Source organism: Homo sapiens, chromosome 14 (assembly GCF_000001405.40).
Source record: "Homo sapiens chromosome 14, GRCh38.p14 Primary Assembly".
NCBI lineage: Eukaryota > Metazoa > Chordata > Mammalia > Primates > Hominidae > Homo > Homo sapiens.
In genome coordinates this window covers 77,659,562-77,686,887 of record NC_000014.9, presented here as the reverse complement: position 1 = coordinate 77,686,887, position 27,326 = coordinate 77,659,562, and the positions used below count along the sequence as shown (strand labels likewise).

General features: G+C 43.0%; 1 protein-coding gene and 1 pseudogene across 2 annotated transcripts in view, besides 5 other annotated features; both read left to right on the top strand.

The window, feature by feature from the left end:
• ALKBH1 (alkB homolog 1, histone H2A dioxygenase) overlaps nucleotides 1–14,484 on the top strand; it is a 35,620-nt gene extending 21,136 nt beyond the window's left edge. Inside the window, exons 4-6 of one of the 2 annotated variants that reach the window (NM_006020.3) lie at nucleotides 6,918–7,008; nucleotides 11,039–11,232; nucleotides 12,647–14,484. In NM_006020.3, the coding sequence (NP_006011.2) occupies nucleotides 6,918–7,008; nucleotides 11,039–11,232; nucleotides 12,647–13,076 (715 nt within the window). In that variant the 3' untranslated portion in view covers nucleotides 13,077–14,484. Of the gene's footprint in view, nucleotides 1–6,917; nucleotides 7,009–11,038; nucleotides 11,233–12,646 lie in introns of those variants that run through there. The other variant, XM_047431848.1, reaches the window with a different exon arrangement.
• Nucleotides 709–1,208: an enhancer, noted in NCBI's record as "H3K4me1 hESC enhancer chr14:78152023-78152522 (GRCh37/hg19 assembly coordinates)". NCBI's record gives its function as "activates a minimal SCP1, AML or CMV promoter by ChIP-STARR-seq in naive H9 embryonic stem cells {active_cell/tissue: H9 hESC(naive)}" and the evidence as "EXISTENCE:reporter gene assay evidence [ECO:0000049][PMID:30033119]".
• Nucleotides 1,209–1,710: an enhancer, noted in NCBI's record as "H3K4me1 hESC enhancer chr14:78151521-78152022 (GRCh37/hg19 assembly coordinates)". NCBI's record gives its function as "activates a minimal SCP1, AML or CMV promoter by ChIP-STARR-seq in naive H9 embryonic stem cells {active_cell/tissue: H9 hESC(naive)}" and the evidence as "EXISTENCE:reporter gene assay evidence [ECO:0000049][PMID:30033119]".
• Nucleotides 2,861–3,698, top strand: RPL21P10 (ribosomal protein L21 pseudogene 10; annotated as a pseudogene).
• Nucleotides 4,425–4,625: a silencer, noted in NCBI's record as "peak2210 fragment used in MPRA reporter construct". NCBI's record gives its function as "represses an SCP1 promoter by STARR-seq MPRAs in K562 erythroleukemia cells {active_cell/tissue: K562}" and the evidence as "EXISTENCE:reporter gene assay evidence [ECO:0000049][PMID:32103011]".
• Nucleotides 18,275–18,475: a silencer, noted in NCBI's record as "peak2209 fragment used in MPRA reporter construct". NCBI's record gives its function as "represses an SCP1 promoter by STARR-seq MPRAs in K562 erythroleukemia cells {active_cell/tissue: K562}" and the evidence as "EXISTENCE:reporter gene assay evidence [ECO:0000049][PMID:32103011]".
• Nucleotides 23,569–24,400: an enhancer, noted in NCBI's record as "H3K27ac-H3K4me1 hESC enhancer chr14:78128831-78129662 (GRCh37/hg19 assembly coordinates)". NCBI's record gives its function as "activates a minimal SCP1, AML or CMV promoter by ChIP-STARR-seq in naive H9 embryonic stem cells {active_cell/tissue: H9 hESC(naive)}" and the evidence as "EXISTENCE:reporter gene assay evidence [ECO:0000049][PMID:30033119]".

Below are 27,326 nucleotides of genomic sequence, written 5' to 3'. Positions count from 1 at the left end.
CACTTTGGGAGGCAAAGGCGGGTGGATCACAAGGTCAAGAAATCGAGACCATCCTGGCCAATGTGGTGAAACCCCATCTCTACTAAAAATACAAAAATTAACTGGGCATGGCGGCACACATTTGTAGTCCCAGCTACTTGCGAGGCTGAGGCAGGAGAATCACTTGAACCCAGGAGGCGGAGGTTGCAGTGAGCCGAGATCACGCCACTGCACTCCAGCCTGGCGACAAAACGAGACTCTGTCTCAAAAAAGAAAAAAACAATTGCTAAGAGAAATGCCAACGCTTACATAAGGCGCTTACCCATGACATAAACCAAGCAAACTGCTGTATGAGCACATTCACCAGGGGAGAAGGTGGCCAACCCACCCATCCATCATCCTTCTGCTAGTGCCTGGAGAAGGCAGCAGGGAGCATAGCATGTTTCTTTTTTAGTGAGACCCAATAATTAGGGTCATGTTTGCTTGAACACATTCTTTTGGATAATTGGATAAAGATGTATTAGGTGCCAACGTATTTCCTGCATTCTTCAAGGTGAGAGTTGTATTGGTACTGATCCTTCTTGACCTCCTTTTGGACAAGTCAGGTTTAAAAAGAGAACAACCCACCCCCTTCAGTGATTCTCTCAGTATTTTATGCTTAAAAATGATCCGGAAGCATGTTAAATGGTTTTGGTCTTACTATTCACAGTGTTCAAGAACAAATCTTGGAATTTTTGTTACTCAGGAGGCCCATGATTAACCAGAAGGGTCCTTAAATAGTACTAAGACAAGAAATGTTTGGTGCTGGCCAGTCCTGCTCTCAACATATTGAAGGCAGATATTAAGAGTTGTTGCTACTTTCCTTTCAGAAAATACAAAGGCAAGAATTGAAATCAGGTTTTCAGAAGAGAATATAAAATGAGGGTCTAATGCACTTACATGGGTCTAATACGTTACAAAAATATATATGTCATTGCCCCCAAAATGGCATAGACACTCAAAGATCACAATTTTTCTTTTTGTTATGAGGACTGAACTTAATGCTTTTCAATGTAAGACTCGACTCTGGCTTGTTTTACATCCCTGGACCAGTCATCCTCTATAATATAACGCAAAAACTCAAAGCCTTTTTTTCCCCCCCGAGACAGGGTCTCACTCTATTGCCCAGGCTGGAGTGCAGTGGCACAATCTTGGTCTACTGCAACCTTCTCCTCCCAGGCTCCTGCCTCAGCCTCCCGAGTAGCTGGGACTACAGGCGTGCACCACCATGCCTGGCTAATTTTTTGTATTTTTAGTAGAGACGAGGTTTCACCATGTTGCCCAGGCTGGTTCTCCAACTTCTGAGCTAAGGCAATCTGCCCACCTCGGCCTCCCGAAGTGCTAGGATTACAAGCGTGAGCCACCACGCCCAGCTCAAAGCCTTTCTTTTAATCATACAGTTAGAGTCCTTGTTTTTTTTTGTGTTTTTTTTTAAGACGGAGTCTCACTCTGTCGCCCAGGCTGGAGTGCAGTGGCATGATCTTGGCCCACTGCAACCTTCTGGGTTCAAGCGATTCTTGTACCTCAGCTTCCTGAGTAGCTGGAATTACAGGCACCCACCACCATGCCTGGCTAGTTTTTGGTTTTTTAGTAGAGACAGTGTTCCACCATGTTGGCCAGGCTGGTCTTGAACTCCTAGCCTTAAGAGATCCGCCCATCTCAGCCTCCCAAAGTGCTGGGATTGCAGGCGTGAGCCACCGCTCCCAGTGAGAGATGTTATTTTGGCTTCTTAGGAAAGGAACTAAATTAGAAAAGGTATATTACAGGATGATTCTATTCATGCTGTCACTATAATTTTGATAATTTTTATTGTTAATAACATAAACCTGTGTTTATAAAATGTATTCTCTGTTCTTGAATATTAGACTAAATCTTTTGGTGGAAAAGCAGTTTGTTGCGGCCATATCAAATGTCTAAAATACTGTCACCTTTTGAATTATTTCCAAAGCAGCATTATTGTTATGTTTATTGTTTCAGATCAGTCTGACATTGATATAATAGTATGGATTCTTCATAAAATGAGGCTGGGCATGGTGGCTCATGTCTGTAGTACCGATACTTTGGGAGGCCAACGCAGAAGGATTGATTGAAGCTAGAAGTTCAAGACCCACCTGGGCAACATAGAGAGACCCCGTCTCTACAAAAAAATTAAAAATTAGCCAGGCATGGTAGCACACACCTGTAGTTCTAGCTACTCAAGAGGCTGAGGTGGGGAGGATTACTTGAGCCTGCAGCAAGCTGTGACTGTTAGGAGGCTGAGGCAGGTGGATCACCTGAGGTCCAGAATTCGAAACCAGCCTGGCCAACATGGTGAAACCTCATCTCTACTAAAAATACAAAATTAGCCGGGCGTGGTGGTGCATGCCTGTAATCCAAGCTCCTTGGGAGGCTGAGGCAGGAGAATCACATGAACCTGGGAGGCGGAGGTTGCAGTGAGCCAAGATCGCACCATTGCACTCCAGCTTGGGCAACAAAAGCAAAACTCCGTCTAAAAAAAAAAAGAAAAAGAATAAAGCAATCTGTTATTGAGCTAGAAAGAAACAGACGGTATTGTGTTTTGTTTTTTAGTTTGGGCTAGAATAGTGGTTTTCAAAGTGTAATTCCTGGACCAGCAGCATAAGTATCATTTGGGAACTTACTAGAAATGCAGTTCTTAGGCCCCCACCCTAGACCTGCTGAATAAGAATTTATAGGCCTGGACCCAGCCATGTGAGTTTCAACAAGCCTTCTAGATGATTCTGATGTACACTAAAGTTTGAGAAACACTCGGCAAAAATTAAGTGGGTTCTGTAATTAAGACAGGTTCTGTAAAGGCTTTCAGTAGAGCTCTTAAGACTGCGCTTTTCAGCTGGAACTGCCATCTTCCAGTAATTTGCGAAAATGACGAAGACAAAGGGAAAGAGGAGAAGTACCTGATAGATGTTTTCTAGGCCTTTTAGAAAACGGAGTTTTTCCTTTGGCCATGTATATGCGCATCTGTAAGAGGGATGATATTGTCAGCTGGACGCAGTGGCACATGCCTGTAATCCCAGCACTTTGGGAGGCTGAGGCGTTTGGATCACCTGAGGTCAGCAGTTCAAGACCAGCTTGGGCAACATGGGGAAACCCTGTCTCTACTAAAAATACAAAAATTAGCCAGGCGTGGTGGTGCATGCCTGTAATTCTAGCTACTTGGGAGGCTGAGGCAGGAGAATCGCTGGAACTTGGGAGGTGGAGGCTGCGGTGAGCCGAGATTGCACCACTGCACTCCAGCCTAGGTGACAGAGCAAGACTGCATCTCAAAAAAAAAGGAGGATGATGTTGTCGACATTAAGGGAATGGGAATGGGTACTGTTCAAAAAGGAATGGCCCATAAATGTTGCCATGGCAAAACTGGAAGAGTCTACAGTGTTCCCCAGCATGCTGTTAGCATTGTTGTGAACAAGTAAGTTAAGGGCAAGACTCTTGCCAAGAGAATTAATGTGCGCATTGAGCACATTAAGCACTCTAAGAGCCGAGATAGCTTCCTGAAACGTGTAGTAAAATGATCAGAAAAAGAACCCAAAGAGAAAGGTACCTGAGTTCAACTGAAGTGCCAGCCTGCCCCACCCAGAGAAGCACACTTTGTGAGAACAAATGGGAAGGAGCCTGAGCTGCTGGAACCTATTCTCTATGGATTCATAGCATAATAGGTGTTAAAATACCCCTGGACTGTTTGTAAAAAAAAAAAAAAAAAAAAAAGACTTTACAGCTTGGTGTGATGCCTCACTTAGCACTCTGGGAGGTCAGGGCGGAAGGATTGCTTGAGGTAAGGAGTTCAAGATCATCCTGGACAACATGGTGAGACTACATCTCTATATTTTTCTTTTTTGTTTTAATTAAACAATAAAAATAGGCCAGGTGCAGTGGTTCACGCCTGTAATCCCAGCACTTTGGGAGGCCGAGGCGGGTGGACCACCTGAGGTCAGGAGTTCAAGATGAGTCTAGCCAACATGGTGAAACCCCATCTCTACAAAAAATACAAAAATTAGCCAGGCGTGGTGGTGCATTCTGTAATCACAGCTACTTGGGTGGCTGAGGCAGGAGAATCACTTCAACCTGGGAGGCGGAGGTTGCAGTGAGCCAAGATCGTGCCATTGCCCTCCAGCCTGGGTGACAAAATGAGACACAGTCTCCAAAAAATAAAATTTTTGAGAAGACTCTTTGCCATTTAGATACTCAGGGTGCCATCTATTTTGAGTTCTAGATTCCAGTCTTAGATGACCAACTTCTTTCATCTTTTACTACCACTTCTACCATCTCTCTTTTCCCCCTCCTCAAAAACGCATAGCTTCAATATTCATAAGATCATCATCATCATCCTTTTCTTCAACAGCATTTTCTTGTATCCTAGAGATTACCTTAAAATAAGGAATTGGCTACAAAGTAATACCTTGGAAAGAGAAATAGAATGGATCACCTCTATAAGGTGCTTATGTAACTCTGGAACTACGTTTATATTTCCATTAACCACAAAGTCCACATGAGTCATACTTATTTTTCTGTCTCAGGCTACTAAAATAGAACATGTTCTCTAGAGGAGAACATCAAGGAGTTCTTTTATTTGTACCTTTAGCTGAATAAACATTGGTAGACCTCAAGTTGTGTTAATAACTACATTACATTTTTTTCATATTTCAGTTTTTATGCACAAAAATAATGTGTGGTTGTTATCCATATTGTAATTGTTCAAATCAGCTAGTTGCTGTCAGTGGCCAAGCCTTATATTTTTCCCTAAATTATTAGTTATCTGTCTCCTGTTGTGTCAGGGAGTCCCCAAAACCACACCCAAATTTGATGATTCGCCAGGAAGACTCAGGACTCAGCAGATGGTTGCACTTACAGATTTATCACAGTGAAAGCATACAAAGCAAGATCAGCAAAGGGAAAAGGCACCTGGAGCAAAGTCCAGGAAAAACCAGGTGCATGCCTCCAAAAGTCCTCTCCCAAGGAAGTCACACCGGATATGGCAATGGGTTGTGACAAAATCTGTGAAATGTTTACCAAAGAAACTCAGTGCCTAGGTTTTTACTAGGAGCTTGTCATGTAGGCAGCCTCTGCCTGACACATGCCAAAATCACAGACTCCCAGAAGCAAAGCAGGTGTTGACCATAAACCATATTGTTTGCACAGTTTAGGTGCAGTAAGCCACTCTTAACACTTCCAGAGAATTGTGTGAACCTTGCCAAGGACCATCTTTGTAAGCAGACCATCAGTCAAGTCTGCTATGTCTCTTCTGCACACCTGTCCTAAATAAATCAGTGTGTGTTCATTTCTTTTTATCTGCTGGTCTTGATGTATGTATGTGTCATGATGTCTTTCTTAGAATGTAAACTCTGTGAGGACAGATAGCATCTATTCTGTAAACTCTTCGTCAAACATCAAGATGAGTGCCACTGAACAGTGTGGGTCTCAATAAATCCTTTGCTTTTGCTTGTGCTGTGTGCCCATATTGCCTACTGCATCACTCCCTATTTAAATGCTGCCCATTCTTCAGTGCCGTGCTCAACTCCCAACTCTGCCAAGAAGCCCCAACTGATTCGACAGCTGACTTTGAGCTCTCCTTTTTCTTAATTCTCGTGCCCCTCAAAGTCTGCTGTTTACTTTAGTACTAGACTTTATACTGCGTTCAGTTTCCCTCTAATTTCTCCTTAGACTTTCTATTACATTTGCCATTTCCTGTCACAATCAGATTCCTTAAAGGAATCTGATTTTTTCTTTTTTACACAGCCATAGTTTTGGACAAAAAAATTTTTGATTGATCAATGATGTAAATAACAGAGAAAAATTAAATCATTAGACCTACCATTCTCATATTTTTAGATATTTGGAGGTGAGCCAAACAAACAAGCTTCCTTTTTAGAAAAAGAGTAGTGGGCCAGTTGTGGTGGCTCACGCCTGTAATCCCAGCATTTTGGGAGGCCGAGGCAGGCGGATCACCTGAGGTCAGGAGTTCGAGACCAGCCTCAATATGGAGAAACTCCGTCTCTACTAAAAATACAAAATTAGCTGGGCGTAGTGGTGCATGCCTGTAATCCCAGCTACTTGGGAGGCTGAGGCAGGAGAATTGCTTGAACCTGGGAGGCGGAGGCTGTGGTGAGCCAAGATCGCGCCATTGCACTCCAGCCTGGGCAACAAGAGCGAAACTCTGTCTCAAAAAAAAAAAAAAAAAAAGAGTAGTTAATCACATAGATTTGATCAGATGAGATGTAATTGCAGAAAGAGCACGTCTCGGTTGTACAGAAACCTCCTGTGGTTTGAACAAGGGTATGTCAGAAACCAAATCAGTTACAGTGGTGCCTTAATTGTTAGCTAAGCCTCAGTTATCTAAGCTATGTTATACAGAGTTAAAGAAGTCATGTTAAACCAGTTATTTTTTATTGTACTATACACTATATTTTGCTAAACTTTTTTTTTCCCCAACCTGCAATTCTGGGAAGCCACCCTCATTATAGACATAGAAATCATTGTGATTAACTGTACCCTGCTTTTAGCAAACCAAACTGAAAATGTTCTGTAAGTCAAATTTTTGATTGCCCATAGTGCTCTTGGTACCATTTCCCATGGACAGGTAAAGACATTTCTCTTGTCATTGTTGTCATTCTTATTTTATCATTACCAAGATGCTGGAGGCTTGTGATTTAAAGTTGACCCCATTCAGCAGAGGATTTAGAACAAAGGATTATAAATTAGAAGTGCTAACATGTTTTTCTCTGTTAATGTATCTGTGGTCTACTCATTTATCTCTTCTAATTTCTCCTACTGAGTCTTGGCTAACGGCTTATACCATGTAATACTAAATTTTAACTCCAGAGTCCATACAAACGGCTATTGCTGCCATTTTACATGAATAATTCCTCTTTTGTCACCAATCTTTGCAGGTATAAAGAAGCGACTAAACGGAGACCCCGAAGTTTACTGGAGAAACTGCGTTGGGTGACCGTAGGCTACCATTATAACTGGGACAGTAAGGTATTCAGGTTTTCTTAATTCTTTTGTTTTCTGTTTATAGGCTTCTTTAGCCCACATAGTTGTATTTCTTCCTAACCACGCTTAAGATATCAAGATTATACATTTGTGGGAGGATCCCTTTCTTTTATTTCCTTAAAAAATCTCAACTGGGCCAGGTGCCGTGGCTCACATCTGTAATCCCAGCACTTTGGGAGGCTGAGGTGGGCGGATCACTTAAGGTCAGGAGTTTGCTGCCAGCCTGGGCAACGTGGCACAACCCTGTCTTTACAAAAAATACAAAAGTTTGCCGGGCCTGGTGGCACATGCCTGCAGTCCCAGCTACTCAAGAGGCTGAGGTGAGAGGATTACTTGGACCCAGGAGGTGGAGGTTGCAGTGAGCCAAGATCGCACCACTGCACTCCAGCCTGGGTGACAGAGCAAGACTCTGTCTCAGAAAAGAAAAAAAAAATCTCTCCTCAGGTATCTCAAGAGGAATGAATTTTATTATATCAGAAGTCACCAGTGCTTTCTCACAGTAGGTTCCAGGAATATAGAACTCTTTTCAAGAGCAGTTCTCACCATCTTTATTTCCATTATTAGTGAGAGTTTGTTGAGCATATATTTTTCTTTTTCTTTTTCTTTTTTTTAATTTTTATTGTGCAACAAAAGCCACATTCAAGAGCACTTATTTTTCTATGTAATATCTGCCTGGAGTAAAAGAAGCTCCATGTATTTCAATTGTTCATTCGTCAACTCACAAAAGAACTTTCAACATATGGATACCGATCACACGCGGTGGCTCACTCCTGTAATCCAAGCACTTTGGGTGGCTGAGGTGGGAAGATCGCTTGAGCTCAGGAGTTCCAGAGCAGCCTGGGGCAACATAGTGAAACCCCATCTCTACAAAAAATAGAAAAATTAGCCAGATGTGGTGGTGCATGCCTGTGGTTCCAGCTACTCAGGAGGCTGGGGAGGGAGGATCGCTTGAGCCTGGGAGGCAGAGGTTGCAGTGAGCCAAGATCGCACCACTGCAGTCCAACTGGGTGATAGAACAAGATCTTGTCTCAAAAAAAAAAGATATTTGCCTGCTCTATAATGACTAGGAAGGAGGGAGGTGGGAAAGAATTTCCTACAGTTGACAGTTTCGTGTTTTCTTGAGCTACGATTTCTTCTTTCCTATCCTCTATGCTTTAGAAGATGCCTTGTAACTAGCAGTGCAGTGCCTCTTGTCTCAATTAGACATTTGCCACCAAGGGAGTATACTGATTATAAGAATAAAATGAAAAAAAAATATTGGTATAGACCATTTTCTTTGCCTACTAACCAGTTACTTTGTCTGTTTTTTTTTTTTTTTTGTAATGGTCTTACACTGTCACCTAGGCTGGAGTGCAGTGGCACAATCACTATAGCCTCGACCTCCCCAGACTCAGGTGATCCTCACACCTCAGCCTCACAGTAACTAGTTACTTTCTAAAAGCTCCACAGTTTCAGCCAACCCAACTTAGATACATTAACTGCTCCAAATGATGACAGATTTGTTTTAAAAATATTTGTGATATAATTCTGACTTTCAGCAATACAGACTCAGTAGGAAACTAGATATTTTTTGAGGGGAAATGCCATGTGATTTTCTTTGGATTAGACAGCCTGAGTTTGAATCCTTCCTCCGGTAATGATAGTGCCTACCTCATAAGGCAGTTGTGAAAATTAAGTGATCAGTGCCTGTAAAGTGATCTCAATGGTGTCTGGCTATTCTAAGCAGTTAAATGCATTATCACAATAAATGTTAGCTTTTTTTTTTTTTTTTTTTTTTGGTGATAATATTTTTACTGTTGATATTGTTATTCCCCAAGACCTCAAAGTTAACCTCATTGACTAAGAAAAATAGGGAGTAAAAATGACCAAAAACTGAATGAGTAGTCAGAGAAAAGTGAAAGAGAACTTTAAAAGAAAAAGTAGTGAGTAATGCAGAGACAGTTTGGACAGGGTTGAAAGCCCAAAAGGGTGATTATTTCATTATAGCAGAGGCTATCTACAGCTAGAATGACAGCCTTGACTGTTTGATTATCTGAGGGACTAAAGCTTAAAATGATAGAGGAAAACTTAAAGTTCTTTAATCACACTTTGAGTTTTGAGAAATTGAATAGGAACTCTTCTAATTTACAGTTCAGTAAAAGGAGAAAAAATGAAAAACAGAAAAGTTCCAACTGAAGAGACCAGGCCATTCATCAAGAGTCTTCCTTACACCTGAAGTTAAAGGTCGCTTCTGGCCAAAGTAAATACTTGCTGTCCAGACCTATGACTGCTGCTTCAGCTAGAATATATTCAGACGCTAGTAGAGATATGAGACAAAAGTAGATTTTCTGATCAGATTTGAGGTTAATTTAGCAAAGAAAGAAGTGAGAGCAGAGGAGCATCAAGACAAAAGAAGAGTCTGTCAGGTACATATAGCCCAAATAGCCCTCAGATTCATCCATATAGGAACCTGTAAGTGAAAGTCTTAATCATAACTGCAGCCATGTCACTCATGCAGAAAGATGTTATAGAGAGTATTATGGCCAGGCCAGGCATGGTGGCTCACACCTGTACTCCCAGCACTTTGGGAGGCCGAGGCAGGCAGTTCACTTGAGGTCAGAAGTTCAAGACCACCCTGGCCAACATGGTGAAACCCTGTTCCTACTAAAAATACAAAAATTAGCCAGGCATGGTGGCAGGCACCTGTAATCCTAGCTGCTCAGGAGGCTGAGGCAAGAGAATCACTTGAATCTGGGAGGCAGAGGTTGCAGTGAGCAGAGATCGTACCACTGCACTCCAGCCTGGGTGACAGAACGAGACTCAGTCTCAAAAAAAAAAAAGAGTATTATGGCCTTTGATATATTTTTTTTTAACTGGAAAAAGATATTTGTGATCCTTAGGTGTAAAAAACAGAGACAGCCCAGGGAAGTAAGTTCAGGAAATTACTTCCAATTTAAAGGCCTATCTTGGCCATGCTATAAATGAGAGTTAGTTCCGATGTTTTGAGCATGTCATCCCATCAGATTGACCAGTCAAATTGCCACTAAGCCATGTTGCAAGCTGAGAGGTCCAAAACCAAACTGGCTATAGTATTTGAGTTGCCTTTTTATAAATTAACTTTTTAGTTTAGGATAGTTTTAGATTTGCAGAAAAGTTGAGAAGATAGTACAGAGAGAGCTCGTGCTCTCCCCCTATTATTAACATTTTACCTTAGTATGGTACCTTTGTCTCAAATAGTTAACCAATAGTAATACATTACTGTAATAGCATTTGTACTTCATTTAGATTTCCTTAGTTTTTAACTAATATCTTTGTTCTTATATCTAATTTTCTAATATCCAGGATCTTATCCAGGATACTACATTATATTTAGTCCTTGTGTTTCCTTGGGCACCTGTTGGCAATGACGGTTTTGAGTTGCATTTTTACCCTAATAGAACTGTCTCATTTACAGATAGAGTATACTAACTAGAGGGTGGTGGAGTAATTGCTTCATGTATAGACTCAATGCAGTATATAGCACAGTGCCTGTTATATAACAGGTACTTGGGTTTTTGAATGATTCATTATTAGATCATTAGATACCCCAAGAATGGATGGATAGACCGGGCACAGTGGCTCATGTCTGTAATCACAACGCTTTGGGAGACTGAGGCAGGAGGATCATTTGAGACCAGTCTAGGCAACATAGTGAGACCCCATCTCTGCCAAAAAAAAAAAAAATTAGCCAGGCATGGTGGCACGCACCTGTGGTCCTACCTACTTGGGAGACTAAGGTAGGAGGATCACTGAGCCCAGGAGGTCTAGGCTACAGTGAGCCATGATCACACCACTGGACTTTAGCCTGGGCAACAGATTGAGGCCCTGTCTTTAAAAAAAAAAAAAAAGAAAAGAAAAGAATGGATAGATAATGCTGTGTTAATATGTTAATATGACTTTGTAAGTAAGATTATTTTAAAGTGGTAATTAATCTTATAGTTTCCTGTATTCCTGAGATCATTGTTTATTTTTCTTATTCTCTCTACATTTACCAAAGAAATACTCAGCAGATCATTACACACCTTTCCCTTCTGACCTGGGTTTCCTCTCAGAGCAAGTAGCCGCTGCCTGTGGATTTGAGGATTTCCGAGCTGAAGCAGGGATCCTGAATTACTACCGCCTGGACTCCACACTGGGAATCCACGTAGACAGATCTGAGCTAGATCACTCCAAACCCTTGCTGTCATTCAGGTGAGTTAGTTCCAGGGATTTGGGATTACTTTTTATCATTTAATTCTTTTTTCTAAGACATTTTACTCTAAAATAAATACAGGTATTTAACTTTAAAAAAGTGGTTGGACTCTATAATCTTCCACTTCTGGGAATTTTAATAAATTATAGTTAGTATCTCTGTTTAAGACACATGGAGCCTACCTTTTATTTTATTTTTATTTTTTATTATTGTTTTTTTTTGAAACAGAGTCTCGCTCTGTCACCCAGGCTGGAATACAGTGGCTTGATCTCAGCTCACTTCAACCTCCGCCTCCCAGTTTCAAGTGATTCTCCTGCCTTAGCCTCCTGAGTAGCTGGAACTACAGGTGCACACCGCCACACCCAGCTAATTTTTTTTTTTTTTAGTAGAGATGGGGTTTCATCGTGTTGCCCAGGCTGGTCATGAACTCCTGAGCTCAGGCAATCCGCCCACTTCGGCCTCCCGAAGTGCTGAGATTACAGGCATGAGCCACTGCACCTGGCCGTAACCTACCTTTTATAATGAAAGGTATTGTCAGTGCTCTGTGGAATAGACAAGTGGAAAGCCATAAAAGCAAAGCGAGTGACCTTTGGTATAGAAGAGCAAACTATAGAGCAAAGCACAAAAGCCTGAGTAGTTTACTCTCCTTGTCTCCCTAAAAGTAAGTTTAAATTTGTGCCAAGTTTTGCACCTGCATCTCGGGAAAGTGCCTTTTATTAATTGCCTTATCTTTAAAATGAGGAAAGGTAAACATAGTAAAGAACTCAAATGATTTTATTGAAAGACTCAAAGACACATCAATAGGCTGGGCATGATGGCTTACACCTATAATCCCAGTACTTTGGGAGGCCGAGGCCAGTGGATCACTTGAGTTCAGGAGTTTGAGACCAGCCTGGCCAACACGGTAAAACCCCATCTCTACTAAGATACAAAAATTAGTCGGGTGTGGTGGCACACGCCTGTAATCCCTGCTACTCTGGAGGCTGAGGCACAAGAATCACTTGAACCCAGGAGGCTGAGGTTGCAGTGAGCCGAGATCGCGCCGCTGCACTCCAGCCACTCCAGCCTGGGTGACGAAATAAGGCTCTGTCTTTAAAAAAAAAACCATCAATAAAACTTAAATGGATAACATTAAAGCTAAGTTCTCCATTTGCTTATTTAACTGCATCCAATTTTATTTTGCAGCAGTTCTGTGGGCTGTCATAACTATAGGTAGAAGGTCATGAGTTGGTCACTCATAGACACAAACCAGAAGAGAAGGATCTTAGCACAGTTTAAAAAGGAGGATTTGGGAGCAATAAATATCAACCTGAAATTACAAAATAACACAGTTGGCAGTAACTTTCCCAGTCATAGTTAATAAACAAAATTTATACTTTTTTATTGTTGTGTGTTTTTACTTATTTTTTGTAGCTTTGGACAGTCCGCCATCTTTCTCCTGGGTGGTCTTCAAAGGGATGAGGCCCCCACGGCCATGTTTATGCACAGTGGTGACATCATGATAATGTCGGGTTTCAGCCGCCTCTTGAACCACGCAGTCCCTCGTGTCCTTCCAAATCCAGAAGGGGAAGGCCTGCCTCACTGCCTAGAGGCACCTCTCCCTGCTGTCCTCCCGAGAGATTCAATGGTAGAGCCTTGTTCTATGGAGGACTGGCAGGTGTGTGCCAGCTACTTGAAGACCGCTCGTGTTAACATGACTGTCCGACAGGTCCTGGCCACAGACCAGAATTTCCCTCTAGAACCCATCGAGGATGAAAAAAGAGACATCAGTACAGAAGGTTTCTGCCATCTGGATGACCAGAATAGCGAAGTAAAACGGGCCAGGATAAACCCTGACAGCTGAGACTTGGAGATCCCATCCTTTTTACTCAGGCACCTGCTTACCGTAAATGATCATGTTATTGTGTATTGCCGTGGACTTCAGCACCCAGACAAGCCAAAAACAGAGACAGGGAAGAACTCATTGTTGATCACACTGTTGCCTTGGAACCCACGCAGAAGTAAACTCAGCCACTTTGCTCAGAGAAGTGTTTGACATGGTCTGTTCCTAGTTACATGTTGGCTGTAATGTATGTTGAGAAGTCAGTCCAAGGAGGTATGTTCTTCCACAACAGCCTTCTCAGCCTCTGCTATTTCCTTTGAGGAAGGTAGAAGTGAGTTTCCATGTTTGCAGAGTATTTAAATACCTCAGATTTTATTAATGAGAAATACAGTACCCCTCCCTCCACTCCATCTGGTAATTTATGGTAAAATTGTGGTTCTGTGAACCAGCTATTAGTCTCATCTTCTTAACTCCCTCAGGCATCATCAAATTCTTTGATCTTCTCTTCCACCTCTCTGGCTCTCATGGAAGAATCCTTTACACATGAAAACAATGGAACTGGAAAATCTTGTCTTTTAGAAAAGAAATTAATCACAACTATCTCTCTTGCCTAAAAGATAAATATAGGTAAACCCAAGGAAAGGGGAATTTAGTTTCTCTACATGTCATTTCGGTCTCCAAACTCCCTGTTGGCTTTTTAATGCAATTTTAATTGTTGGAATAAAAAAGTCCCAAGGGTGTTTTGTTACTGTTTTCTCCATGAATAAACTCACTTGATTTTAAATTAAAGATCTATATCTGTCTTTGGGGTTTAGTCTATCTGGGATTAAGGTTTTTTTTTCTGTTTTTCTTTGCTGTATTGTTCATGCTATTGAAGCCCTCTAGCTGTTTCTGCCCTACACCATTCTGCTGTGCCCTAAGTATTCTTTGTGGCTGTCTCACAGAAGAGAGAACATTTCTTAATATTCCAGTCACTGCTGTTATTGTCTGAGGGTAGGCAGCTTGGAAAAATGTAGGCAACACCAAGTTTTAATCTTTATACCCCCAACAATTTGACTGACTATATCATGGTCCAGGTTACTTTACATTTCTCTGGACCTCGGTTTCCTCATCATAAAATGAAGATACTGTAGACTACCATCTTCCTAAAGGGATATTGGTATTTGAAAGAGAATTAAGTGCTCCTTTCTACAAACATGATGTGCCAAAATTGTTTTATTATAAGGGCTCTTTGAAACATCCTAACTTCCTTGTGTGGAGGACTGGCTGGAAGCCCATTTGGTACCTACTGTTTGCAATGCATGTTATTAAGTTTACATGTCTCCTCTGTCCTGCTCTGCCCCTTTTTTAAATTACTGGCATTGAATATTGAGTTCATATGGTAATAGCAGGGTTTTTAAATGAATAAAAATTATGGATTTATCTCTTATGTGTAAGCTAGGTTCTTTGTTTTTTGTTTTTTGTTTTTTTTGAGTCAGAGTTTCACACTTGTTGCCCAGGCTGGAGTGCAATGGCACAAGCTCAGCTCACTGCAACCTCCACCTCCCGGGTTCAAGCGATTCTCCTGCCTCAGCCTCCTGAGTAGCTGGCATTACAGGCATGCGCCACCATGCCTGGCTAATTTTGTATTTTTAGTAGAGATGGGGTTTCTCCATGTTGGTCAGGCTGGTCTTGAACTCCTGATCTCAGGTGATCGGCCCGCCTTGGCCTCCCAAAGTGCTGGGATTACAGGCATGAGCCACTGCACCCAGCTTAGGTCCTAAAATTAATACATAGGAAATCTTTATATAATTAAATAATACCACTGGATAAGATTACCACTGTTAACCTTAAATTTTCTACAATGTATGTTAAATGTGACCTACAGAAACCAACGTACTGTCATTTAGTAAATCCAACAGAGACAGTCTAGCATTAAGACAGATTATTCTTTCTTCACTTGTGTGTCAGATAAAGGCATTGGTTTGTGTATGGGAACCATGTTGTACAAAAAACACATAACTAAATTGTAGACTCACTCCATGAAGTGAGATGTTTATGCTATGAGAAGCAGGTAGAAACAGGCCAGCCAAGAGAATAGCACATTCCTGTCTCCTGGGATGGTGAACAGATCATTCGTACAATTAAATATTCACGCTCTCTCTCTCCCCGACCCCATCTCCTCCCTCTAGCCCTCCCCACTTTCTCTGGCTCGCTCTCTACTTTTATTTATATATTTTTATGAAGCACATATAATTGAAGATGTATATAATGTAACTCAGTCGGGCGTGGTGGCAGGTGCCTGTAGTCCCAGCTACTCAGGAGGCTGAGGCAGGAGAATGGCGTGAACCCGGAGGCAGAGCTTGCAGTGAGCCGAGATCGCGCCACTGCACTCCAGCCTGGGCGACAGAGCGAGACTCCGTCTCAAAAAAAAAAAAAAAAAAAAAGAGTAGGCCAGGCACAGTGGCTCATGTTTGTAATCCCAGCACTTTGGCAGGCTAAAACGGGAGGATCACTTGAGCCCAGAAGTTCAAGGTTACAGTGAGTTACGATTGTGCTACTGCACTCCAGCCTGGGCAACAGCAAAAACCTGCCTCTAAAAACAGGGCTGGGCGCTGTGGCTCATGCCTGTAATCCCAGCACTTTAGGAGGCCAAGGCAGGTGGATCACCTGAGGTCAGGAGTTCGAGTCCGGCCTGACCAACATGGTGAAACCCAGTCTCTACTAAAAATACAAAATTGGCCGGGCGTGGGGTGGCTCACACCTGTAATCCCAGCACTTTGGGAGGCCGAAGTGGGTGGATCACTTGAGGTCAGGAGTTTGAGACCAGCCTGGCCAACATGGTAAAACCCCATCTCTACTAAAAATACAAAAATTAGCCAGGCATGGTGGCAGGCGCCTGCAATCCCAGTTACTCAGGAGGCTGGCGCAATAGAATCGCTTGAACCTGGGAGGCAGAGGTTGCAGTGAACTGAGATCGTGCCATTGCACTCCAGCCTGGGTGACAACAGCAAGACTTCATCTCAAAAAAAAAAAAATACATAATATTTAGCTGGGCGTGGTGGCGGGCGCCTGTAGTCCCTGCTACTTGGGAGGCTGAGGCAGGGGAATCATTTGAACCTGAGAGGCGGAGGTTGCAGTGAGCCAAGTCGTGCCATTGCATTCCAGCCTGGGCAACAAGAGCAAAACTCCGTCTCAAAAAAAAAAAAAAAACAAAAAGTAAAGTCACAGACGTTAGGCCCTGAGAAATTGGTTTTCTAATAATCTGTTAGTAGGGATGTAAATTGCTATAGCCCCTAAGGCACAATTTGGCATCATGTAATGTGTGACTTTTTATCCTACTTTGACCAGGGTAGTCCTGGATCTCCTTTTCCACCGAGAAGTGGTCTTTCATTCAATGATAATTTATGTGGTCATCCTAATAATGTTTTCAAATGTATACCCTTTGTCCCAGTAAATTTCACTTCTAGGAATTGAGTCTGTGGAAAGTAATCAGAGCTGTGCAGAAAGATTTTTGTGTGAGAATATTCATAGTAGAGAAAATATGAAATATACTCAAAATCCAGCAACAGGGAGTTAAATTCATGTACTTTTCAGCACGTGACTACTGAGCACTGTTCTTTGGCTGCACAAGTACTTTCCTTTGTGGAGCTTGTATACTGGATATGCCATAACCCTATGTAGCCTTTAAAGGCCATGTTTTACAAGAATAGTTAGAGATAAGGGGAAATGTTTATACTATATTTAGGTGAGAAATCCAATTATGAAACTGTCCATAGTAACCTAATTTTGTATAGAATGTTGACATTTTTATTTTATGTTTTTTTGTTCAGACCTCTCAGAGATGAAATGTTTACATATTTTTTTAAACTGGAATGATGTGAATACCAAAACATGAATGATGGTGGAATTACAGTTGATACTTATTTGTGCTTTTCTGTATTTCTGATTTTTAATTTTTTTTTCTCTTTCTGCGCACCCCCCTCTCCCCCTGCCCCATCTACTGGGCACCAGAGTTATTTGATTTTTTTGTTTGTTTTGTTTTTTTGAGACAGGGTCTGGCTCTGTTGCCCAGGCTGGAGTGCAGTGGTGCAATCATAGCTCACTGCAGCCTCAATCTCCTGGGCTCAAACAACCTTCCCACCTCAGCCTCCCAAGTACCTGGGACTACAGGCACCACCATGCCTGGCTAACTTTTCTAATATTTTTGTAATGACAGGATTTCACCATGTTTCCCAGGCTGGTCTTGAACTCCTGAGCTCAAGTGATCCACCTGCCTGAGCCTCCCAAAGCTCTGGGATTACAGGCATGAGCCACCGTGCCTGGCTTGTCTGATATTTTTGACATTAAAAATCTTTTTAAAACATTTTTTTAAGACCGGGCACAGTGGCTCATGCCTGTAATCCTAGCACTTTGGGAGGCCGAGGTGGGCAGATTGCCTGAGCTCAGGAGTTCAAGACCAGCCTGGCCAACATGGTGAAACCCCACCTCTACTAGAATACAAAATAATTAGCCAGTCATCATGGCACGTGCCTGTAGTCCCAGCTACTCGGGAGGCTGAGGCAGGAGAATCACTTGAACCTGGGAGGTGGAGGTTGCAGTGAGCAGAGATCACGCCCCTGCAGTCCACTCCAGCTTGGGTGACAGAGCGAGGCTACGTCTCAAAAAAAAAACTTTTTTTTTTTTGAGGCAGAGTTTTGCTCTTGTCGCCCAGGCTGGAGTGCAATAGCACAATCTCTGCACACTGCATCCTCTGCCTCCCGGGTTCAAGCAATTCTTCTGCCTCAGTCTCCCTAGTAGCTGGGACTACAGGCGCCCGCCAGCACACCTGGCTAATTTTTGTATTTTTAGTAGAGACAGGGTTTCACCATGTTGGGCAGGCTGGTCTTGAACTCCTGACCTTGTGATCCACCCACCTCGGCCTCTCAAAGTGCTGGGATTACAGGCGTGAGCCACTGCGCCCAGCCAAAAAAAAAAAAAAAACTTTTTTTTTTTTGAGACGGAGTGCACTCCAGGCTGGAGTGCAGTGGCGCAATCTCGGCTCACTGCAACCTCCGCTTCCCGGGTTCAAGTGATTCTCCTGCCTCAGCCTCCTGAGTAGCTGGGACTACAGGCACGTGCCATGATGCCTGGCTAATTATTTTGTTTTCTAGTAGAGATGGGGTTTCACCACGTTGGCCAGGCTGGAAGAGGAATTTTCTCTGCACTTCCTCTTATTTTAAAATATGTCTGGCTAAGGTGGATCCACTCACTACTCTCTGCTTATTATTTTGGTAGAGCCTCTTGCCTGTTGCTCTTTTTTTGCACCCCATGTCTGGTTTTTCCTGGAAGGGTGCCAAGGCCTCAGACATAGATGTCCTGCTGAACAGGACAGACTCAGTGAGACTTGGCTTTCCAGTGTTCTCATTTTTTCAGTTCTTTGGTCACTAAGATAAGCTGGTCTTACCCCATTTCTCTTTTCCCTTAATCTAAAATATTGGTTTATTAGAGTAAAAAAAAAAAAAAAAAGACCCTACCCTAGGTGGATCCAATAAGGCAAATTAGAATGGTAATGAGGCAGAAGGGAGCCCTTGGGGTGACTTGATCTCAACGTGATTGACAGGAGGACCTAGAAAGAAAGACACCTCACCTGTTTTCTGTTTCCAAGGTCACAGTAGAAGCAATGCAAATCTAATGCCTTAGGCTGAATGGTAAATTTCTACTGATTTTGATCAGCTACCTATACAAATTCGAGCCCTCCTGGAGATAGGTTTGTTGGCTCTAATTTTATTGGTAAGACAGACTTCTGGCCAGGCACAGTGGCTCATGCCTGTAATCTCAGCACCTTGGAAGTTCAAAGCAGGTGGATCACGAGGTCAGGAGTTCAAGACCAGTGTGGCCAAGATGGTGAAACCCCGTCTACACTGAAAATACAAAAATTAGCCAGGCATGGTGGCACACGCCTGTAATCCCAGCTACTCGGGAGGCTGAGGCAGGAGAATCGCTTGAACCCGGGAGGCAGAGATTGCAGTGAGCCGAGATCGGGCCACTGCACTCCAGCCTGGGCAACAAGAGCGAAACTCTGTCTTAAAAAAAAAAAAAAGACAAACTTCTTATTAAGATAAGATGGTACAGTAGATGGAAAATAACATTGAGTGGTTACCAGAAAAGCTAATTCTAGTAAAAATTCCAACACTTAGCTGTGTGACCTTGACTAAATCTTCAGCTGAGCCTCAGTGAACCTTTTTGGGCCCCAGTTATCTCATCTATAAGGAGCTTGCCAAGTAATTCTTGTGTTGCCTACCACTTCTGCAATACTATATTTCTAAAATGAGAAGTTAATCTTACAGAGGTTGGATAAACAGCAAACAAAAGTTACCCCATGAGCAGCAAGATTTTTGGTAAGGAAATGAAGTGTTAACCAAGTAAAACTAAAGGAGAACAAAGCAAAACTGAAACTTCTCTGAAGAAAACAATACAAATAGCCAATAAACATCTAAAAAGATGCTAACCTCACTAGCAGATAGAAATGCAAATTAAAGCAATAGATGTGTATTTGTACCCATTTATTTGGCAAAATTAATTACATTATCTCTTGACTGTCTTTCACTCACATTATTCTACTTTTTTTTTTTTTTTTTGACTCCCGTTCTGTCACCCAGACTCGAGTGCAGTGGCACTATCTCTGCTCACGGCATCCTCCGCCTTTTGGGTTCAAGCGATTCTCCTGCCTCCACCTCAAATAGCTGGGATTACAGGCGTGTGCCACCACACCCAGCTAATTTTTGTATTTTTAGTACAGATGGAGTTTCACCATGATGGCCAGGCTGGTCTTGAACTCCTGACCTCAAGTGATCCACCCACCTTGGCCTCCCAAAGTGCTGGGATTACAGGTGTGAGCCATTGTGCCCGGCCCACTCAATCCTACTTCTAATACCACAGGAAATGTTGGCTCTACCTTTCAAGTATCCAGAGTCTAACCACTTGTGTTTACCTCACTGTTACTGTCCTGGCCCAAGCCACTATCATCTCTCAACTGGGTTATTACAATAGTGTCCTAATAGCTCCTCCTTCCGTGCTTTGCCCCCTTCTCTTCCCCCATATTTTATCCTCAAGATAGCAGCCAGAGTGAGGCTATTAACACCTGAGACAGGTCATGTCACTCTTGTGCTCAAAACTCTTATGTTGCTCCTCACTCTGAGTACAAGCCAAAGTCCTGTCAATTGGCTACAAACCCCAACCCATCTGGTCCCTCATTTCCTCTTGGTCCTCTCACCCACTCTGTCTCAGCCACACTGGTCTCCTTGTTTTACTTCTGAAGATGCAAAGCACATCCCTGCCTTGAGACTTTCACACTGAACTGTTTCCTTTGCCTGGAATGCTCTTCTCCCAGAGATCTGCACCCTCACTGCCTTCCAGTCTTTGCTCAAATATCACTTTGGTGAGATCTTCCTTGACTACCCTCATTGAAAGTTTCAATTCTGCTGCCATTCCTAGTTTTCTTTACACAGTATGGTAAATACTCTGTTTTTTTCATAGCATTTCTGATATAACATTCTACATAATTTACTAAATAAGGAAATAACCCTTTTAAGGAAATAATGATAAATAATTATTGTCCCCTCCACTAGGCTGTAAGTGCCGCATGGCAGAGACGTGCCCTGGTGTCTAGTACAGTTCCTGGCACATAGTAGTTACTCAGTATATGTTGAATGAATGGATATTCACTGTAGGTGTGGACGTGTGGAAATGGGCACTCATGTACTACCGTGGGAATGTAAATTGGTAAAGCTCTTTGGAGGCTAATTATCAGTGTTCACATAAATTTTGACCTAGCAATTCTACTTCCTTAGTATCTTCCCTATAGAAATAGATGGACACAATATGTGTAAAAAGATATTCATCACAGTGTTGTTCATAACAGTGAAAAACTGGAAACAACCCAAATGTTAATCAGTACTAAAAAGATTAAATTATGGTTAATATGCACTATGGAATATTATGAATATGTATTCCTTCACAAGAATGTACTGACATCAACAGGGCTCCAGGATATTTTGGTTAGTAAAAACAAGTTGCAAAATAATAAATACAGTGTAAAAACATGTAAAACTATTATATATGTATATATATATATATATAAACTAATATGTAAAAACTAAACAAGTCTTTCTTTTTTTTTGAGATGGAGTTTCACGCATATCACCCAGGTTGGAGTGCAATGGCGCAGTCTCGGCTCACTGCAACCTCTGTCTCCCAGGTTCAAGCGATTCTCCTGCCTCAGCCTCCCAAGTAGCTGGGATTACAGGCGCCGGCCACCATACCCAGCTAATTTTTGTATTTTTAGTAGAGACAGAGTTTCACCATGTTGGCCAGATTGGTCTCCATCTCCTGACCTCAAGTGATCCACCTGCTTCGGCCTCCCAAAGTGCTGGGATTACGGGCGTGAGCCACCGTGCCTGGCCTAAACAAGTCTTATCTATATATGCACATATGTTTGTAAATGCATGGGGGGAAAGGATATGTCCAAGGATAAGGGTGGGGAGGAGAGAGATTAGAAGATTGTAGAAGGTACTTTCTACTATGTGATTTTTGGCCTTAGATTTTTTAAAAATTTTTTAAAATTTACATTTATTTATTTATTTATTTATTTATGAGACAGGGTCTCACTCTTTTGCACAGGCTGGAATGCAGTGGTATGATCTCGGCTCACTGCAACCTCTGCCTCCTGGGTTCAACTGATTCTCTTGCCTCAGCCTCCTGAGTAGCTGGGATTACAGGCACACACCACCATGCCCAACTAATTTTTGTGTTTTTAGTAGAGACGGGGTTTCACTTCATCGCCCAGGCTGGTCTCGAACTCCTGGGCTCAAGCGATCCTCCTGTCTCAGCTTCCCAAAGTGCTATGATTAAAAGCATGAGCCACCATGCCCAGCCTGGTGTTTATTTTTTTATAAGAATTATTCACATGTTACTTATATATTTTATTTATTTATTTATTTATTTATTTATTTATTTATTTATGAAGGAGTTTTGCTCTTGTCGCCCGGGCTGCAGTGCAACGGCGCGATCTCCACTCACTGCACTCTCCGCCTCCTGGTTTCAAGGGATTCTCCAGCCTCAGCCTCCCGAGTGGCTGGGATTACAGGCGCCCACCACCACACCCAGCTAATTTTTTTGTATTTTTAGTAGAGACAGGGTTTCACCATTTTGGCCAGGCTGCTCTCGAACTCCCGACCTCAAGTGATCCGCCCGCCTCAGCCTCCCAAAGTGCTGGGATTACAGGTATGAGCCACGGCGCCCGGCCACTTATATATTTTTAAATTATTTAAGTTATATATAGCAAACTTTAAAGAATCATATGCAGTAATAAAAATTTGAGGAAATGTATCTTTCTCCAAATTCTCTGAAAGTTTTTGTGTTGTTATAAATAAGATCTGGTAGTGTGTTAAATCACGGGAAAAGCAGCTGATTTTGGCGGCCGTCATAAACACTAGTTCTGGTCTCTGAGTTGGATTCACCATGGGCTGGCCAGAGAATGTTCGATTGTACCTATTCAGGCAAGAGAAGCAGCCCCTTGTTTTTCTATATCCTAAATTCATGTACATTGCTGTGCTCAGGAACCCCAATAAAAATAGGAGGCTTTGGATGCTAAGGCAATAGACAGTCAACCTTAAGGTTGAGCCACTTGTGAGGGCTATAGTCCTCTGAAAAAGATTACTGTATTCTCCTAGGGACGTAGCTAGCAGATAGCATTGATATCCACAGGGCCCCATGGTGTATTATTTCTGTTTTCTCTGTGGCAATGGCACAAGGGAGGAGTGGTGGAATCTGCCGTTTTTGGCACACTGAGAGGTATTTGTGCACATGTACACTGTGTATTCCCTTTTCTTGTTAGGTATTAATTGTCCTATCCCCCAAAGTGAGCGTAGGCCTACAAGTGTGGCCACCAGTGGCTGTTTGCTTCCGTCCGCTCTCATCCACAATAATCAAGCACTTCCTGAGAGCCACTGGATACTGGACCTACAGGCTTTATATCTTCATTTTTAACAGGGGCTCAGCAGAAGGGCACCAAGCTCAACAACAGGAAAAGCGTGAACAAACCGTGTTTCTGGCTATGGAAGATTTTTCTCTGTCTTTGAAGACAGTGATGCTATGTCTGTGTTATTAACCAACTCTTTTTGCCTTTGGAAGGTCACGTAGTGTAAGAATTGCCTAAGGGAGTGAAATAAACATCAGTATTGCTGCTGTCAGTTAGGTGTCAAGCCCTTGTTATTCATCCAGCAACTACTGAGCATCTGTGAAGTGAGTCACTGTGTTAGGTGAATGTAACAGGCATTGTTTCTGCCCTCGGGTCCTTCCATGAGTGGGAAAAACACCTACGTAAGTAGGGTTGCCATAAAAGTATGCTCCCATGGGCCAAGTACAAGGTGTAGTGGGAGGGGCATTTAACCTAGAAATGGCAATGACAGGCTTCCTGTAGGAAGTGACATAAAAGCGGACGAAGAAGGAGCTAGACTTAGCTTCACTACCCTCCTATTTGGCTTAAGGCCGTTTATTATCTCCTCTATTGTTTCATTGGTCTTGTGGGAATAAGAGCATCTGGAAAATCTTGAAGACCTTTTTAGCCTTAATAGTTTATGATTCTGTATGACTCACATGATAAAAATCATTTATTTTGTTCATAGCCCTTAGCACTATCTGCTATTATATCTTTTTTTACTCTTTATTATTTGTGTCCTCCAAAGAAAAGCAGGCTTTTTTCTTTTTTTTTTCTGTCTTGTTCTGGGCTATTTCCCTGACACCTAGAATTGTTCTTGGTACATAGTAGCTGCTCAATTAAATATTGTTGAATGAAGAACATTTTATCATACTGTTAATGTGTTGTTGTATATCACAGAAGTCCTTTGCAAATAGTTGGCTGGAGAAGGGGGACAGCATCTTTTTAAGCATTTACACATATGCAAGCAGTCTTTTTTCTAGGAATTCACTGTTTATCCTGAGTGGGGATGTGGCTCCAAAAGGCACTGCTAGCATCACAAGCCAAACCTAACCCAAATACTCTAATGCCTTAATCAGGGATCATTCCACTACAAGACACAAACCCACTAAATTACAAAAAACAACCAAGGGTAGGAAGTGCAGCCAAGCCTCACTGGGAACTAGAATTGGTAAAAACATCAGGACTCACAGCAGCTGCCATATTCCACTCTCCCCCACTCTCCCTCCCTCTTGGTTTTTTTCTGCCTGTCTGCTTCCTTCTTATTGCAACCCTCTTTGTTAATTTTACTTGCACAGTGATGCCCCTAAATGGCACCTTCAGTCCCCAGTTTTCCAGGTTGCTTGCATATAGATGCCCTAAATCCCGATTGCTCAAAGAAAATCAGCTTGGCATTTTTTGGATTAGTTGTCTACCCCAGATCAGTTACCTGTGGCCCTGATGATACAGAGGACTTAACTCTTCAAAACCAAACAAAGAACAATGGATGGATGGAAAGGAAGTAATTAGTGTGGGGAAAAGAAAGAGAGATCAGATTGTTACTGTGTCTGTGTAGAAAGAAGTAGACGTAGGAGACTCCATTTTGTTCTGTACTAAGACAAATTCTTCTGCCTTGAGACTCTGTTAATCTATGACCTTACCCCCAACCCCGTGCTCTCTGAAACATGTGCTGTGTCAACTCAGGGTTAAATGGATTAAGGGCTGTGCAAGATGTGCTTTGTTAAACAGATGCTTGAAGGCAGCATGCTCCTTAAGAGTCATCACCAATCCCTAATCTCAAGTACCCAGGGACACAAACACTGCGGAAGGCCGCAGGGACCTCTGCCTAGGAAAGCCAGGTATTGTCCAAGGTTTCTCCCCATGTGATAGTCTGAAATATGGCCTCGTGGGAAGGGAAAGACCTGACCGTCCCCCAGCCCGACACCCGTAAAGGGTCTGTGCTGAGGAGGATTAGTATAAGAGGAAGGAATGCCACTTTGCAGTTGAGACAAGAGGAAGGCATCTGTCTCCTGCTCGTCCCTGGGCAATGGAATGTCTCGGTATAAAACCCGATTGTATGTTCCATCTACTGAGATAGAGGAAAAACCGCCTTAGGGCTGGAGGTGGGACATGCGGGCAACAATACTGCTCTGTAAGGCATTGAGATGTTTATGTGTATGCATACCTAAAGCACAGCACTTAATTCTTTACCTTGTCTATGATGCAGAGACCTTGTTCACGTGTTTATCTGCTGACCTTCTCTCCACTATTATCCTATGACCCTGTCACCTCCCCCTCTCCGAGAAACACCCAAGAATGATCAATAAATACTAAGGGAACTCAGAGGCTGGCGGGATCCTCCCTATGCTGAACGCCGGTCCCCTGGGCCCCCTTTTTTCTTTCTCTATACTTCGTCTCTGTGTCTCTTTCTTTTCCAAGTCTTTCGTTCCACCTAACGAGAAACACCCACAGGTGTGGAGGGGCAACCCACCCCTTCATCTAGTGGAAGAAATTACTGGCAACTCTAATGGTGTTATTATACACATTTTACTTCTGGAATGAAGTGCTAGGTGACTGGACCAGGAGATGATAAAAGTAGAGTGTGTCGGTGGCTCTCTCCAGCCCCCTTCACCAGACACTACTCCCAGGCACCCCCCCCCAACAAACAAAATTCACCCGTGCCCCCTGTGCCATCTCCCCTGCTTATCGCCTCTTGGGCTTTGTCGAAAGGTTGGAGACAACGGTGAGGCATCTGGTGCTCCCACGGTCCCATTGCTTTGGAGACCAGAGGCAATTGAGGTGCTTTCAGCCGGAAAAATATAATTTAAGGGCTTGGCATCTGGCTGGGAGCAGAGAGCTATGTTGCCATGGTAATGCCTCGCTTCATTTAACAGCAACATATCCCCAAGTTTGGTCACATCCACACTCAGGCACATACAGCACCCCGTCAGCAGCCCCCGTGACGTGCCCACACTCACCTCTGGCAGAAATCCCTCTGCAAGATGCAAAGCCCATTCCCTGCACCCTCCTCTCATCATAGACACCCACACTCCCCCATATCCTTTCCTACAACACCTCGGCCAATTAGGTAGATTCCAAAAACACCTCCAGACAGCACAGAACACTCCAGGGAATTTTGTTTTGTTTCGTTTTGTTTTTGAGACGGAGTTTCACTCTTGTTGCCCAGGCTGGAGTGCAATGGTGCGATCTCGGCTCACCACAACCTCCGCCTCCTGGGTTCAAGCGATTCTCCTGCCTCAGCCTCCCAAGTAGCTGGGATTACAGGCACCTGCAACCACGCCTGGCTAATTTTTTTGTATTTTTTAGTAGAAACGGAGTTTCACCATGTTGGCCAGGCTAGTCTTGAACTCCTGACCTCAGGCAATCCACCCACCTCAGCCTTCCAAAGTGCTGGGATTACAGGTGTGAGCCACCACGCCTGGCCACTCCAGGGAATTTTGAGTGCTCTGTGAGTGCAGACCCTCTTAAATAGGCCCACACCACGAAGGCTGCTGGGGTCCCTGTGCTTCTTCAGCATCCCTAATATGCAACTGTAGCTCCGTCTTCCTTTACAAATCTTTGTGTGTCATCTCCAATCCTTTAATCATGCCCAAGAGGATGGTAATGAGGGAGAGGAGCAGTGGTGGCCAGCGGTGCACAAATCTCTGTTTTCTTGAGAGCAGAGGTTAGCCTCTAGGGGTCAGGTACAAGGACCAAATCCCTGCAGTAATTATCCAGAAGCCCCCAAGTGCCTACTGATATTCTGTTTCTGCCCCTCCCTTAACCCAGGCAGTGGTAAACAGGATGGATCAGAGAAGAGAAACTTGAAAGCACAAGATCATTTATTGCAACACTGTTTATAGTAGTGAAAAAATAGAAATTGCCTAAATGTCCGTTAACAGGAACTAGCTAAATACACTGTGGCTCATCTGTATAATGATGGACTCTATGGGGTTTAAAAGAATTATGCAATCCATGTGTATCATGTGAAAATATGTCAGTATGTAAAGTGTGATCCCACCGATTTTTTTTTTTTCCTGAGATGGAGTCTTGCTGTGTTGCCCAGGCTGGAGTGCAGAGGTGCAGTCTCGGCTCACTGCAACCTCCACTCCCGGGTTCAAGCAATTCTCCTGCCTCAGCCTCCCAAGTAGCTGGGACTACAGGCACACGCCGCCACGCCCAGCTAATTTTTTGTATTTTACTAGAGACGGTTTCACCATGTTGCCCAGGCTGGTCGTGAACTCCTGAGCTCAGGCAATCCGCCTGCCTCAGCCTCCTAAGATTTTTTTAACTTTAGTATATACACATGGATATTGATAATGTGAAGAAAAAGG